The sequence below is a fragment of the Homo sapiens genome, chromosome 5, assembly GCF_000001405.40.
Source record: "Homo sapiens chromosome 5, GRCh38.p14 Primary Assembly".
Lineage (NCBI taxonomy): Eukaryota > Metazoa > Chordata > Mammalia > Primates > Hominidae > Homo > Homo sapiens.
In genome coordinates this window covers 134,018,357-134,032,438 of record NC_000005.10, presented here as the reverse complement: position 1 = coordinate 134,032,438, position 14,082 = coordinate 134,018,357, and the positions used below count along the sequence as shown (strand labels likewise).

Sequence of the window (14,082 nt, the reverse complement as noted above, 5' to 3'; positions counted from 1 at the left end):
TGGGTCAAAGGTAAGTGCAGATGTGGATTTGTTAGGTAATATATTGGTTTCCTATTGCTGCTGTAACAAATTACCATACATTTATTGGCTTAAAACCACACACATTCATTGTCTTGCTGTTCTTGGGCCACAAGTCTGAAATGGTTTAACTTGACCAGAACCAAGGTTTGTCAGGGTTTGTCTGAGCCTCTAGGAGAGAATCTGTTTCCTTGCCTTTTCCAGTTTCTAGAGCTGTACTCCTTGCATTCCTTGGCTCTTAGTCTCTTCCTGTGTCTTCAAAGCCAGCAGAGTAGCTTTTTTTTTTTTTTTTTTTTGTGAGGCAGAGTCTCGCTCTGTGGCCCAGGCTGGAGTGCAGTGGCACAATCTTGGCTCACTGCAACCTCCACCTCCCGGGTTCAGGCAATTCTCGTGCCTCCCAAGTAGCTGGGACTACAGGTGCATGACACCACACCCAGCTAATTTTTTTGTTCTTTTTTTTTTTTTTTTTTGAGATGGGGTCTCGCTCTGTCACCGAGGCTGGAGTGCAGTGGTGTAATCTCGGCTCAATGCAACCTCCACCTCCCAGGTTCAAGCGATTCTCCTGCCTCAGCCTCCCAAGTAGCTGGGATTACAGGCACCTGCCACCATTCCCAGCTAATTTTTGTATTTTTAGTAGAGATGGGGTTTCGCCATGTTGGCCAGGCTGGTCTGAAACTCCTGACCTCAAGTGATCCGCCTGCCTCAGCCTCCCAAAGTGCTGGGATTATGGCATGAGCCACTGCGCCTGGCCTAATTTTTTGTATTTTAGTAGAGATGGGGTTTTGAGGCTGGTCTTGAACTCCTGAGCTCAGACAATCCACCTGCCTCGGCCTCCCAAAGTGCTAGGATTACAGGTGTGAGCCACTGTACCCGGCCCAGAGTAGCATCTTACTTTCCTGGTCACATTGCATTCTGTATAGAATCTCCTGTCTCCCTCTTATAAACAGACTTGTGATTGCATTTAGGGCCTCCTGGGATAATTTCCCTATTTCAAAATTCTTATTTTGTGTCAGCAAAGTCCCTTAAGCCATACAAGGCAGCATTCACAGATTCTGAGGATTAGGACCTGTATATCTTTGGGGGTCAGTATTTAGTCTACCACAGGTAACACATTTTTTTTTTAACTAAGTAAATTTAATCCCTGTAGACTTACTCTAAGTCTTCATTTTCCCATATATGAAAGGTAGGGATAAAACCAGGAGGTCTTCAATGTTCCTTACTGTCTAAAATCCTATGTTGGATTTAGTTCTTTCTTGATCAGCTGGAATGGACTGCAAATGGCTTCTTCCAAGGTTAATGATCCCCACACCAGGTGGTCATCCAGGACCACCTGAGGGCAAAAGTGTGAGGTCCCTGTAGTCTGTCTCATGAGTGGCAAGTGATGGTAATGGAAGTGGTAGCTGTAACATTACTGTTGTTGGGTCCCTTGGGATCCCTAGGGAAGGGGCCTTGTTCCAGCAAATCTAGGCATAATTCATGATTCTAGCACAAACAGAAAGCTGCAGAGAGGCTGGGAGCAGTGGCTCACGGCTGTAATCCCAGCACTTTGGGAGGCCAAGGTGGGCAGATCACTTGAGGTCAGGAGTTCAAGACCAGCCTGACCATCATGGTAAAACCCCTAAAAAACCCCTACTAAAAATACAAAATTAGCCAGATGTGGTGGCAGAGGCCTGTAATCCCAGATTCTCAGGAGGCTGAGGCAGGAGAATCACTTGAACCTGGGAGATGGAGGTTGCGGTGAGCTGAGATCGCTGTCACCACTGGACTCCAGCTTCCAGCTTGGGCGACAGAGTGAGACTCCATCTCAAAAAAAAAAGAAAGAAAGAAAGAAAGAATGCTGAGGGGAAAACTTTTCTACCCTTACTGAAACCTGCTGGTCTGAGCTTTCTTATTATTAGAGCTTTCAAACAGAACCTTGTGAGGAGGTGAGCTCTCTGCCACTGGAAGTTCTGAATGACTAGGAGATTTTGCAGAAGGCTCTATGCATTACTGGGGCCTCCCTGTCCAACATGATGGGCACTAGCCATATGTGCTATGTAATGCTTATTTCATATTAACATTTTTTTCTCTTTTTTTTTTTGAGATGGAGTTTCACTCTTGTTGCCCAGGCTGGAGTATAATGGCACGATCTTGCTCACCGCGGACCTCCACCTCCCAGGTTCAAGCGATTCTCCTGCCTCATCCTCCCAAGTAGCTGGGATTACAGTCAAGCACCACCACGCCCGGCTAATTTTGTGTTTTTAGTAGAGATAGGGTTTCTCCATGTTGGTCAGGCTGGTCTCAAAGTCCTGACCTCAGGTGATCCACCAGCCTCAGCCTCCCAAAGTGCTGGGATTACAGGTGTGAGCCACCGTGCCCGGCCTTTTTCCTTTTTCTATTGAAATAATTATAGATTTCCAGGAAGTTGCAAAAAGTAGTTGAGAGAGGTCTCACGTACCTGTCACCCAGTTTTCCCAAGGGGTTACATTTTACATTACTGTAGCGCAATATCAAAACCAGGAAGTTGATGTTAGTACAATGTGTGTGTATAGTTCTGTGCCATTTTCTCACATGTGTAGATTTATGTAACTACCACCTAATCGTGATACAGAACTATCCCAGCATCTCAAAGACCTCCCACAGGCTATCCTTTTATAGTCACTCCCACCGCCCTTTTCCCACCATCCCTAACCCTTGGTAACCACTAATCTGTTTTCTATCTCCCTACTTTTGTCATTTCAAGAATGTTACATAAATGGAATCCTACACATGTGCTATTTAAATGTCAAGTTTAATTTATTAAAATTAAATCAAATTAAAAAGTTAGTTCCTCAGTCATATCAGCCACATTTTGAATGCTCAATAGCCACGTTTGCCTAGTGACCATCAAATTGCACAGCACAGATGCACGGCTGTTCTATCATTGCAGAAAGTTCTATTGGAAAGTGCTGCTTTAGGGAATAAGACCAGATCTGTGGTTCACAAATGCTGATTCATAAGCCCAATTACCCAACAGTGTGACAAAATACAGATTCCTGAGTGTATTACTTATATATTGTGGCATAATAAATTACCCCAAAGTGCAGTGGCTTAAAACAATGATCAACCTTTATTACCCCACATATTTTCTGTAGGTCAGGAGTTCTTGGGTGACTCAGCTGTGCTGTTAGGCACAGAGTCTCTCATGAAGCTGCAATCAAGAGGTTGGTCAGGGGCAGCCATCTGAAGGCTTCGCTGGGGCAGAAGGAGCCTCCTCCAAGGTGGCTCACTCACATGGCTGGCCAGTTGGTGCTAGATGTTAGATGGGCACCCACTTCTGTTTGCCTAGGACTAAGAGGTTCCCTAGGATGTGGGACTTTCAGTGTGAAAACTGGAACTGTCCTAGACAAACCAGAACGATTGGTCACCCTACTGCTGCTAGGAGGGCTCAGTTCCACCCAACATGGGCCTCTTCCAGGGCTGCTTGAGTGTCCTTATGACATGGCCGCCATCTTTTCCTAGGATGAGGGATCCAGGAGAGTGCTGTGGTCCACATTCAAGGACAGGGGAATTAGCAACTGCCTTCTGAAGGGAGGATTGTCAAAGAATATGTGGACATATTTTAAACCTTCCATACTGTCCCATCTGATTGGGCAGATGATACAGGGCCTAGGAATCTGTACTTGGCTGAGGGATCAATGATCCCTGATGTACAGTCACATTTGCCTACCAGTGGTTTGGCTGGCCGCAAGGTCCCTTCCCACTGTGAAATGACGGTCATCCCACCTACCTCAGGAGGCATTCACGGGAGGGAAGGAGGAGGAAGAGCAATGCCAGGCCAGAGGAATTAGTGAGCTGAGCATTGTTAGATGACTGGATGTTCCCTCCCACAGAAGAAATGAACAACAGTTAGAGAACCATTTAGAAAATCCTCAGTGCAATGAAACATTGAACACTGTTATAAATGATGATCACCAAGCCTACATAGCAACATGGAAGAAAAAACTCACAATACAAAATACACACTCAGGGCAGGGTGCAGTGGCTCACACCTGTAATCCCAGCACTTTGGGAGGCCAAGGCAGGCGAATCACCTGAGGTCAGGAGTTCGAGACCAGCCTGGCCAACATGGTGAAACCCTGTCCCTACTAAAAAGACAAAAATTAGCCAGGCATGGTGGCGGGTCCCTGTACTCCCAGCTACTTGGGAGGTGGGGGCAGGAGAATTGCTTGAACCTGGAAGGTGGAGGTTGCAGTGAGCCGAGATGGCACCACTGCACTCCAGCCTGGGCAACAGAGTGAGACTCTGTCTCTAAATAAATAAATAAATAAATATATAAATGTATACACACACTCAAAGGATGGCTAAAATGCTATAGAAATACCTGGACATGGCCAGGCACAGTGGCTCATGCCTGTAATCTCAGCACTTTGGGAGGCCAAGGCAGGCAGATCACCTGAGGTCAGGAGTTTGAGAGCAGCCTGGTCAACATGGTGAAACCCTGTCTGTACTAAAAATACAAAAATTAGCAGGGTATGGTGGTGGGCGCCTGTAATCCCAGCTACTTGGGAGACTGAGGCAGGAGAATCGCTTGAACCTGAGAGGCGGAGGTTGCAGTGAGCCGAGATCACACCACTGCACTCCAGCCCGGGTGACAAGAGCGAGACTCCATCTCAAAAAAAAAAAAAAAAAAAAGTAGGCAAGATCTGGAAATGAATTTATTATACCAAAAATAACAGAGTTGCAGTCATGGTAGGTGGGCAGGGAGAAGATCACGGGTAATTGAAACAAATGAAAGTTAGTGTTGGTTGTGTTGTCTTTTCAATTAATGTGGGTGGCTCGTTCTTCAGACCTTAGCTCAGCAGTCACCTTTTCAGAGGCTTTTCCAATCTTCTTTGTTTAAGTTGGTCCCCTCTGTATTATTCTGTGTCTCAGTCCCTTTTTTGTCCCACCCTGGCACTTGTCACATTTGCAAATACTTTGTCTCTCCCTGCAGCCTGAGCTGCTGGAAGGAAGGCAGGGAGGGGCTGTCGCTCTCTTGTCCCCCATGTTCTCTCCAGGGCCCGGCACAGCGCCTGCACACCTTGCTGCTCGGGAACTGGTCATGAAGCAGTGGGTCTGAGGGAGACCTGCAGGTGAAGGAGGCAACGGGAGCCCCTCTCATGGCTGCTGATGGGGCGGGAGAGGGAGGAGGGCTGGGATCATCCTATCCAGGGGCCCCTGATCCAGGGACGTCTCAGCACTTTGCAGGCCATTGACTCTTGAGAATCTGATTGAATCAGTGTTTCTCAACCTCATCACTGTTGATATCCTGGGCTAGACATTTCTTTATAGGGCGGGGTTGGGGCCTGTCCTGTGTAAGATGCTTAGCATCACCCCTGGCCACCACCTGGCAGGTGCCAGTAGCAACACCTCTTCCCCAAAGCTGTGAAGTTAAAAACATCTCCAGATATTGTCAAATGCCCCTGGGAGTCCAGGGCCAGGTTGCCCTTGGAACTGGGTCAGAAAACCAGCCTAACGCTCTAGTGGGAATGAAATCTTTGCAGCTCAGGCTTAGAAGCATTTCTTCAGCAGCCTCAGTTTCCACATCTGTAAATGAGGGAATCTGATGCCAGTTTCACACAGGGGAAAATCTGTCTTGAGAATTTACCTTTGTGCAGATCCATGCAGGCTTGGGGTGACGGGCTTGGAGAGTGCTGCCACTTGTTGGTGAGTAGGTGGGAGTGCACCCATGGCTCATTAAGCTCCAGTCCACAGGGAGGCAACTTGCCTGCCAGGTGGAATGCAGCTGGCTTGGCTGGTAAAGCCCTGGCTCTAAGACTGGGCCAGGGAAGCCGCAAATAAGGCCAGCTAGGGTGTGTGGCAGCCAGGGGAGTCAGTGGGGATGGGACATTTTTCTATCATTTTGATCAAATGTTTAGTGTTTTTTTTTTTTTTTTTTTTTTTCTGAGACGGAGTCTCGCTCTGTCACCCAGGCTGGAGTGCAGTGGCGTGATCTTGGCTCACTGCAAGCTCCACCTCCCGGGTTCACGCCATTCTCCTGCCTCAGCCTCCCGAGTAGCTGAGACTACAGGCGCCCGCCACCACGCCTGGCTAATTTTTTGTATTTTCAGTAGAGACAGGGTTTCACCGTGTTAGACGGTTAGCCAGGATGGTCTTGATCTTCTGACCTCGTGATCTGCCCACCTCGGCCTCCCAAAGTGCTGGGATTACAGGCGTGAGCCACCACACCCAGCCATTTAGTGATGTTTAAAAAAAGTTGGGCCAACTTTGTTTATTTCCCTCTCCCTTTTCCTGCAGATGCAGAGATCCCTCTCCCTTAGAATCTCTCTAATTCAGGGCTTGGATGTTCGGATTTGCATGAGGGCAGGGAGTGTGAGGGTTGGAATCATGTCTAGCTGCTTGCCCGGCAATGACTCCCCGTGGCCAGACTGGTGGTGATTCCAGGCAACTCCCTCCCCCAGGCCAGGCTCGGTGGAAAAGGCAGAAGGTTGGCACTGCCCATGGCAATCCAAACTCACATCTTTCCCTAAACCTGCCCCTCCTCCAACCCAGTAGAGGCTGGGCCAGACCCTGAGTTCCACAGCTAGAAACATCACCTCCATTTGGGAGGCTGAGGTGGGAGGATCGCTTGAGGCCAGGAGTTCAAGACCAGCCTAGGTAAAATAGTGAGACCCTATTTCTATGAAAAAAAATGAAAAGAAACTTAGCTGGGCATGGTGGTGTGCACCTGTAGTCCCAGCTAGTCGGGAGGCTGAGGTGGGAGGATTGCTTGAGCCCAGGAGTTTGAGGTTGCAGTGAGCAGAGATTGCGCCACTGCACTCCAGCCTGGGTGACAGAGTGAGAACTCAAATAAAAATAAATAAATAAATAAGAGAGAGGGAGAGAGGGAAACATCACCTCCATCACTGAATCCTACTGGCTCTACTTCCTAAATAAGTCCAATTCATCCATTTCCCCCACCCCTACTGCTGCCCTCACCTCAATTTGAGCCTCTGATATGGTCTAGATATTTGTCCCTTCCGAATCTTATGTTGACGTGCGAGTCCCAGTGTTGGAGGTGGGGCCTGGTGGGAGGTGTTTGACTCATGGGGGTGAACCTCTTATGAATGATGAATGGCTTGGTGCCCTCCCTATGGTAAAGAGTTATCATGAGATCTGATTGCTTAAAAGAGACCACAACCTCCTCCCAACCCCATGCTCCCTCTTTCGCCATGTGACGTGCCTGGTCCCCCTTCACCTTCTGCCATGAGTGGAAGCTTCCTGAGGGCCATGCCAGAAGCAGATGCTGGCATCATGCTTCCTGTACTGCCTGCAGACTGTGAGCCAATTAAAGATCTTTTCTTTATAAATTGCCCACCCTCAGGTATTTCTTTATGGCAACACCAAAATGGACTAACACAGCCTCCCTCATCCCACGCCTGGGACAGGGCAGTGGCTTGGCTTCACCATGCTGCTCCATGTGGTGTTGGCTGGGGCCATGCATGTGGCTGCCTTCAGCTGGGAGCTTGGCCAGGGCTGGAATCTTCTAGATGGCTTCACTCACGTGTATGGTAGCTCAGCTGGCTAGGGGGTAGGGGAGTGGGTGCAGAGGCAGCTGAGCCTCTCTCTCCAGCAGAATAATTGGACTTCTTACTACCAGTGTGGGTCTGGGCTATAAGAGCAGAGAACAGAATCTACCTGGCTTCTAAGGTCCAGGCCTAGCACTGGCACAGTGTTCCTGCAACCACATTCCACTGGTTAGAGCAAGCTCTGAGGGCAGCACAGCTGCCCAGTGAAATGTGAGGTGAGTAGACTCCAGCTCTTAAAAAATTTTTATTTTGCTGCAGTCATTTTATTTATTTACTCTTTTTTTTTTTTTAAGTTTCTATCTCTTGATGAGAGAAGTGGTTGGGAGGAATTAGCCAGGTTTTTTTTTTTTTCTTTTTTTTTTTGAGACAGGGTCTCACTCTCTCGCCCAGGCTGGAGTGCAGTGGTGCAAGCTCGGCTCACTGCAACCTCTGCCTCCTAGGTTCAAGCAATTCTCCTGCTTCGGCCTCCCAAGTAGCTGGGACTACAGGTGCCCACCACCACACCTGGCTAATTTTTGTATTTTTTGGTAGAGACAGGGTTTCACCATGTTGACCAGGCTGCTCTCAAACTCCTGACCTCAAGTGACTGCCCTCCTCGGCCTCCCAAAATGCTGGGATTATAGGTGTGAGTGACCGCACCCGGCCTGGCCACCAGTTTTGCAGGCAATCCACCATGCCCACCTTCTTCAAGTCAGGTCAGGGCTCTCCATGAAATACTTGCTCACTTCATTCTTTTTTTTTTTCCTCTGGAGATGGAGTCTTCCTCTGTTGCCTAGGCTGGAGTGCAGTGGCATGATCTCAGCTCACTGCAACCTCTGCCTCCTGGTTCAAGCCATTCTCCTGCCTCAGTCTGCTGAGTAGCTGGGATTACAGGTGTGCATCACCATGCCTGGCTAATTTTTTTTTTTTTTTTGTATTTTTAGTGGAGATGGGGTTTCGCCATGTTGGCCAGGCTGGTCTCAAACTCCTGACCTCAGGTGATCTGCCTACCTTGCCCTCCCAAAGTGCTGGGATTACAGGCATGAGCCACTGTGCCCAGCCCACTTCATTAATTTCTGCTTATAAGTCACCTCTTTGGAGAGGCCTTCCGTGACAGTCTTGAGTAGCCCTCATCCCTTATGCCCACTCTGCCTTATCAACACTTGCCATCATACTCTTTTTGCTGTCAGTCTTGCCCCCTAGACAGTAAGTGCCAAGAGGGGAGGAACCACATTTATTTTGTGCATTCCTGAGTCTCCAACACCTAGAAGAGGGCCTGGCCCATGGTAGGAGCTCAATAAATATTTGTTGAATGAATGAATGTTCCGAAGAACGTTTCTTCCAAAGCACTTATCAAAATCCATAATTACATATTTATTTATCTGCCATGGAGAGGGGGCCCAGAAGAGGGTTGTCTTTTTTTTTTTTTTTTACTTTAAGTTCTGGGATACATGTGCAGAACATGTAGGTTTGTTACATAGGTATACGTGTGCCATGGTGGTTTGCTGCACCTATCAACATGTCATCCAGGTTTTAAGCCCGGTATGCATTAGGTATTTGTCCTAATGCTCTCCCTCCCCTTGCCCCCCGACAGACCCCAGTGTGTGATGTTCCCCTCCCTGTGTCCATGTGTTCCTATTGTTCAACTCCCACTTATGAGTGAGAACATTCGGTGTTTGGTTTTCTGTTCCTGTGTTAGTTTGCTGAGAATGATGGCTTCCACCTTCATCCATGTCCCTGCAAAGGACATGAACTCATTCTTTTTTATGGCTGCATAGTTACTCCATGGTGTATATGTGCCACGTTTTCTTTATACAGTATATCACTGATGGGCATTTGGGTTGGTTCCAAGTCTTTGCTATTGTAAATAGTGCTGCAGTAAACATATGCGTGCCTGTGTCTTTATAGTAGAATGATTTATAATCCTTTGGGTATACACCAAGTAACGAGATTGCAGGGTCAAATGGTATTTCTGGTTCTAGATCCTTGAGGAATTGCCACACTGTCTTCCACAATGGTTGAACTAATTTACACTCCCACCAACAGTGTAAATGCGTTCCTATTTCTCCACAGCCTCACCAGCATCTGTTGTTTCTTGACTTTTTAATAATCATTCTAACTGGTGTGAAGGGCTTGTCATTTTTACAGTTGAATGCAAAGACTTTTATAAGAAACTGATGAAGTCTGGATGTCTCATTTGCATAAGGCACAAATTTCTGGTACCTCCACCCCCATCCTCGTAGTGCTCATGTGGGCCCTTGAGTTTCTCCATATTGCTTTGTTCCACTTACTGAGCATGTGTTAGGGGATGGAATTTTCCATTGCGGGGAGGTAGGACTCTTAAGAGACGATTAGGTCATTAGGGCAGAGCCCTCATGATTGGATTAATGCCATTATCTTGTTATTTTGGGAAATGGGTTGGCCTCCTCTTTCTCTCTCCCTCTCTTTGCCCTTCTGCCAAGTGATACTCTTCCACTATGGGATGATACACAAGAAGGCCCTCGCCAGATGGCAGCATCTTAATATCAACCTCTAGAACTGTGTGCCAATAAATTTCTGTTTATTATAAATTACCCAGTCTGTGGTATTATTATAGCAGGACAAAATGAATGAAGACATGGATGTAAATAATAATTTTCTGAATTGATTTTTTTCAACAACCCAGGGAGCTGGTGTTTAGAGCAGCCACATCCTGAACTTCTTTTCACGATATTATGTAAGATCACAGCCTTTCAGCTGGGCACAGTGGCTCACGCCTGTAATCCCAGCACTTTGGGAGGCTGACACAGTCAGATCACCTGAGGTCAGGAGTTTGAGACCAGCCTGACCAACATGGAGAAACCCCGTCTCTACTAAAAATACAAAACTAGCTGGCGTGGTGGCACATGCCTGTAACCCCAGCTACTTGGGAGGCTGAGGCAGGAGAATCGCTTGGAGAAGCCGGGAGGCAGAGGTTGCAGTGAGCCAAGATCATGCCATTGCACTCCAGCCTGGGCAACAGAGTGAGACTCCGTCTCAAAAAAAAAAAAAAAAAAATCACAGGCTTTCTCTGAGCCTACTGCTCCAGTATTACTTGGGTGCTTGTGAAAAATACAGGTGCCAGCCCCACACCAGAAGTATTAATGGAGAACCTCCAGGGGCTAGGGGCTAGGCCCCCCCACCTGCACATCCCAGCAGCCATGCAGGTGATTCTCATGTGCACCACATTTTGTGGTAAGGTATCATTGCCTTCCCATTTCTACACTCTAAGCTGGAAATTTCTTGGGCTGGTTTTTCCTTTAAGACATCCTGTGTCTCTTAAGACCTTGGTAGCTTTATTTCCCCAGAAGGCTTCTTTTTTCTTTTTTTTTTTTTTAAGACAAGGTCTCAATACTATGCAGCCACAAAAAAGAATGAGTTCATGTCCTTTGCAAGGACATGGATGAAGCTGGAAACCATCATTCTCAGCAAACTATCACGAGGACAGAAAACCAAACACCACATGTTCTCACTCAGAGGTGGAAACGGAGCAATGAGAACACTTGGACACAGAGTGGGGAACATCACACACCAGGGCCTTTCGGAGGGTGGGGGGCTGGGGGAGGAATAGCATTAGGAGAAATACCTAATGTAAATGATGAGTTGATGGGTGCAGCAAACCAACATGGCACATGTATACCTATGTAACAAACCTGCACATTGTGCACATGTACTGTAAAACTTAAAGTATAATAATAAAAAAAAAAAGACAAGGTCTCATTCTGTCACGCAGGCTGGAGTGCAGTGGTGCAATCACAGCTCACTGTAGCCTTGACCTCCCGGGGTTCAGGTGATCCTCCCAGGGCTCAGGTGATCCTCCCACTTCAGCTTCCCGAGTAGCTGGGACTACAGTTGCACACCACTGTGCCTGGCTATTTTTTTTTTTTTTTTGTATTTTTTGTAGAGACAAGGTCTCCTTATGTTGCCCAGGCTGGTCTCAAACTCCTGGGCTCAAGCAATCCTCCCACCTCGGCCTCCCAAAGTTCTGGGATTACAAGAGTGAGCCCCTGTGACTGGCCTCCCCAGAAGGCTTTGTAAAGATGCCTGTTCCATAGCTGGGCATGGTGGTGGGCGCCTGTAATCCCAGCTACTTGGGAGGCTGAGGCAGGAGAATGGCGTGAACCCGGGAGGCGGAGCTTGCAGTGAGCCGAGATCGCGCCACTGCACTCCAGCCTGGGTGACTGAGCGAGACTCCACCTCAAAAAACAAACAAACAAACAAACAAACAAACAAACAAACAAAAAAGAAGCCTGTTCCATAATCCCTGAAAAATGCAGCATGTTTATATACCTTTTGAGGCTTGTGGAGAGGTTATATGGCCCAGGGCCTTATGACTGGGCAGGATGACACTGAAGCCACACCAAGTAGGGAGGAAGCAAAGCTGGATTCTCTCCCTCTTCAGATTTAAGTGTGCGGAATTGGGAAGTTTATGTTTGGGGTTTAGCGATACAAGGGGTGGGGTCCTTGGCTGTGGTGATGGGGAGGAGCCTTTAGCACAGTTAAGGGGAAGCAAATATTTCCTCAGGGGTAAACAGGAGCTGGGGAGGGGTGAGCGGGGGAGTCGTGGAAGAACCTGTTTTGTAACAGGTTGGGTGGCAGGCTGCTAGGTTTAGATTTGAACCTGAAACTTTTGGACTTTGAGAGGCATCTGAGGCTGTTGCTGCCTCTGACTATGCTGGCTCTGGCAGGAAAGGCTTTATCTGTGGCTTGGCGAAACAGTGGCATTAGAAAAAGGTGGGACTGAATGAGTTTTAGGAAAGCCATGATATTCCCAGAGAAAATCCTGATGGTCAGCATACCCCTCCCCACACAGTCTCTCTTCAAGCAGGAAAGGCTAGAGAGTAGGTCACAGGGGGCAGGTATGAAAGGATGGGGTGAGGACAAAGGCAGGGACGCTTGCGAGCTCATTAGCCAACCTGGCTATTAATTGTGTATCTACCTGTCATTGCCCATGTCAGAGAGAAAGTCGTTCCTGGCAACCAGGACAGAGGAGGAGGTGTTGGTGTGGGGCCAGTGAGGAAGCAAGTCCTCTCCAGATTCAGGAGGAGGCTAGAGAAATAAGAGCACATAGGCAGTGTGGTCTCAGACAGGCCAGGTGCTTGGTCTGATACCAGGCCTCAGTCAGCCAGGAGAAGTCAGTCCTCATTCAGGTGCATGTGCGTATGTGATGGGGGTTGGGGCAGCTGTGGGATAGTGCAACCTTAGAGTTGTTGTAGCCTTAGGTAGAGAAATGTGGCTTCTGTTATGTTGCTGCCTGGAAGGATAGGAGGTGGGGAAATAAATACTCTATTTTTTGTTTGTTTGTTTGTTTGTTTGAGCCAGAGTCTTGCTCTGTCACCCAGGCTGCATCACAGTGGTACGATCATGGCTCACTGCAGCCTTAATCTCCTGGGCTTAAGTAATCCACCTACTTCAGCCTCCTCAGTAGCTGGGACTACAGGTGTTCACCACCATATCTGGCTAATATTTTTTAATTTTTCATAGAGACAGAGTCTCACTATGTTTCACAGGCTGGTCCTGAACTCCTGGGCTCAAGCAATCCGCCTCCCTTAGACTCCCAAAGTGCTGGGTTTATAGGTGGGAGCTACTGTGGCTGGCCAAAGTTGTGGTTTTTGCAGTCTTTTGTGATCATTCTTGTAATTAGGTGTACATGCAGGAGAACCTTCCCTTCACGGCCTTCCCTGTGTCTACTTGTAGGGTTTTTTTTTGTTTGCTTGTTTTTTGTTAACACGAATGACTCCATTTTCATTCCAACACCTTCACACATTTTATAAGTAACTGGAGGGACTCAGTGCGATCTTATCCTAACAGTCACATTTTATTACAGGGGAAGGATACAGATTAAAATCAGCCAAGCGGGGAGATGCGAGATGCATGGGGCAGAGTCAAGGAGGGTTCCAAACACAGAGCTTCCATTGTCCTTTCCTGATGGAGGCATATGGAGAGTGTGCAGTCCTCCCGGTGATGATGCGTAGGGGTAAACATGGAGTCTTGCCAACCAGGAAAATTCACCCTAGACTTGGGACCTAGAGTTTTTACTGGGGCTCCCTGGTCAAATGCCCACAGGGCTGACATCGTCTCCATTCTCCAGAGATCCAGCTGAGCATGCTTGACTCAAAGTCCTCACCCTGAATCACATATTAGTTTATCCAATGTGGCCAACCCCACCCTAAATCACATTGTTCGTTTATCTGGTGTGGCCAGCCTCTGCCCTAAATATCCTCCTATCTGGCATGACATTGCAAGGGCTTAGAGATTACCTTCTGGAAGCTGAGGGCAAAGTCCAGGCCTCTCCCTGGGCAAGGTTAAATTATTTACTCCACAGGCAGACTAAACAGTCCCCAGCCCACGCCAAGGCTGTGAGTCCATTGTTTCTGGCAGATTGACAACCCAAGAGGCACGATTCCTATAGCTGTCCCCCAGGTGTGTGATATGGTTTGGATATGTGTCTCCTCCAAATCTCATGTTGGAATATGAGCCCCAGTGTTGGAGGTGGGGCCTGGTGGGAGGTGTTTTAGTCATGGGGGCAGATCCCTCG

At 47.9% G+C, this 14,082-nt stretch overlaps 1 protein-coding gene across 6 annotated transcripts in view, besides 1 other annotated feature; it reads left to right on the top strand.

Annotated features, from left to right (window-relative positions):
- VDAC1 (voltage dependent anion channel 1) overlaps window positions 1-14,082 on the top strand; it is a 142,670-nt gene that overhangs the window by 82,102 nt on the left and 46,486 nt on the right. The window lies entirely within an intron of this gene.
- Window positions 1,679-1,778: an enhancer, noted in NCBI's record as "active region_23118". NCBI's record gives its function as "activates an Ori minimal core promoter by ATAC-STARR-seq in GM12878 lymphoblastoid cells {active_cell/tissue: GM12878}" and the evidence as "EXISTENCE:reporter gene assay evidence [ECO:0000049][PMID:35858748]".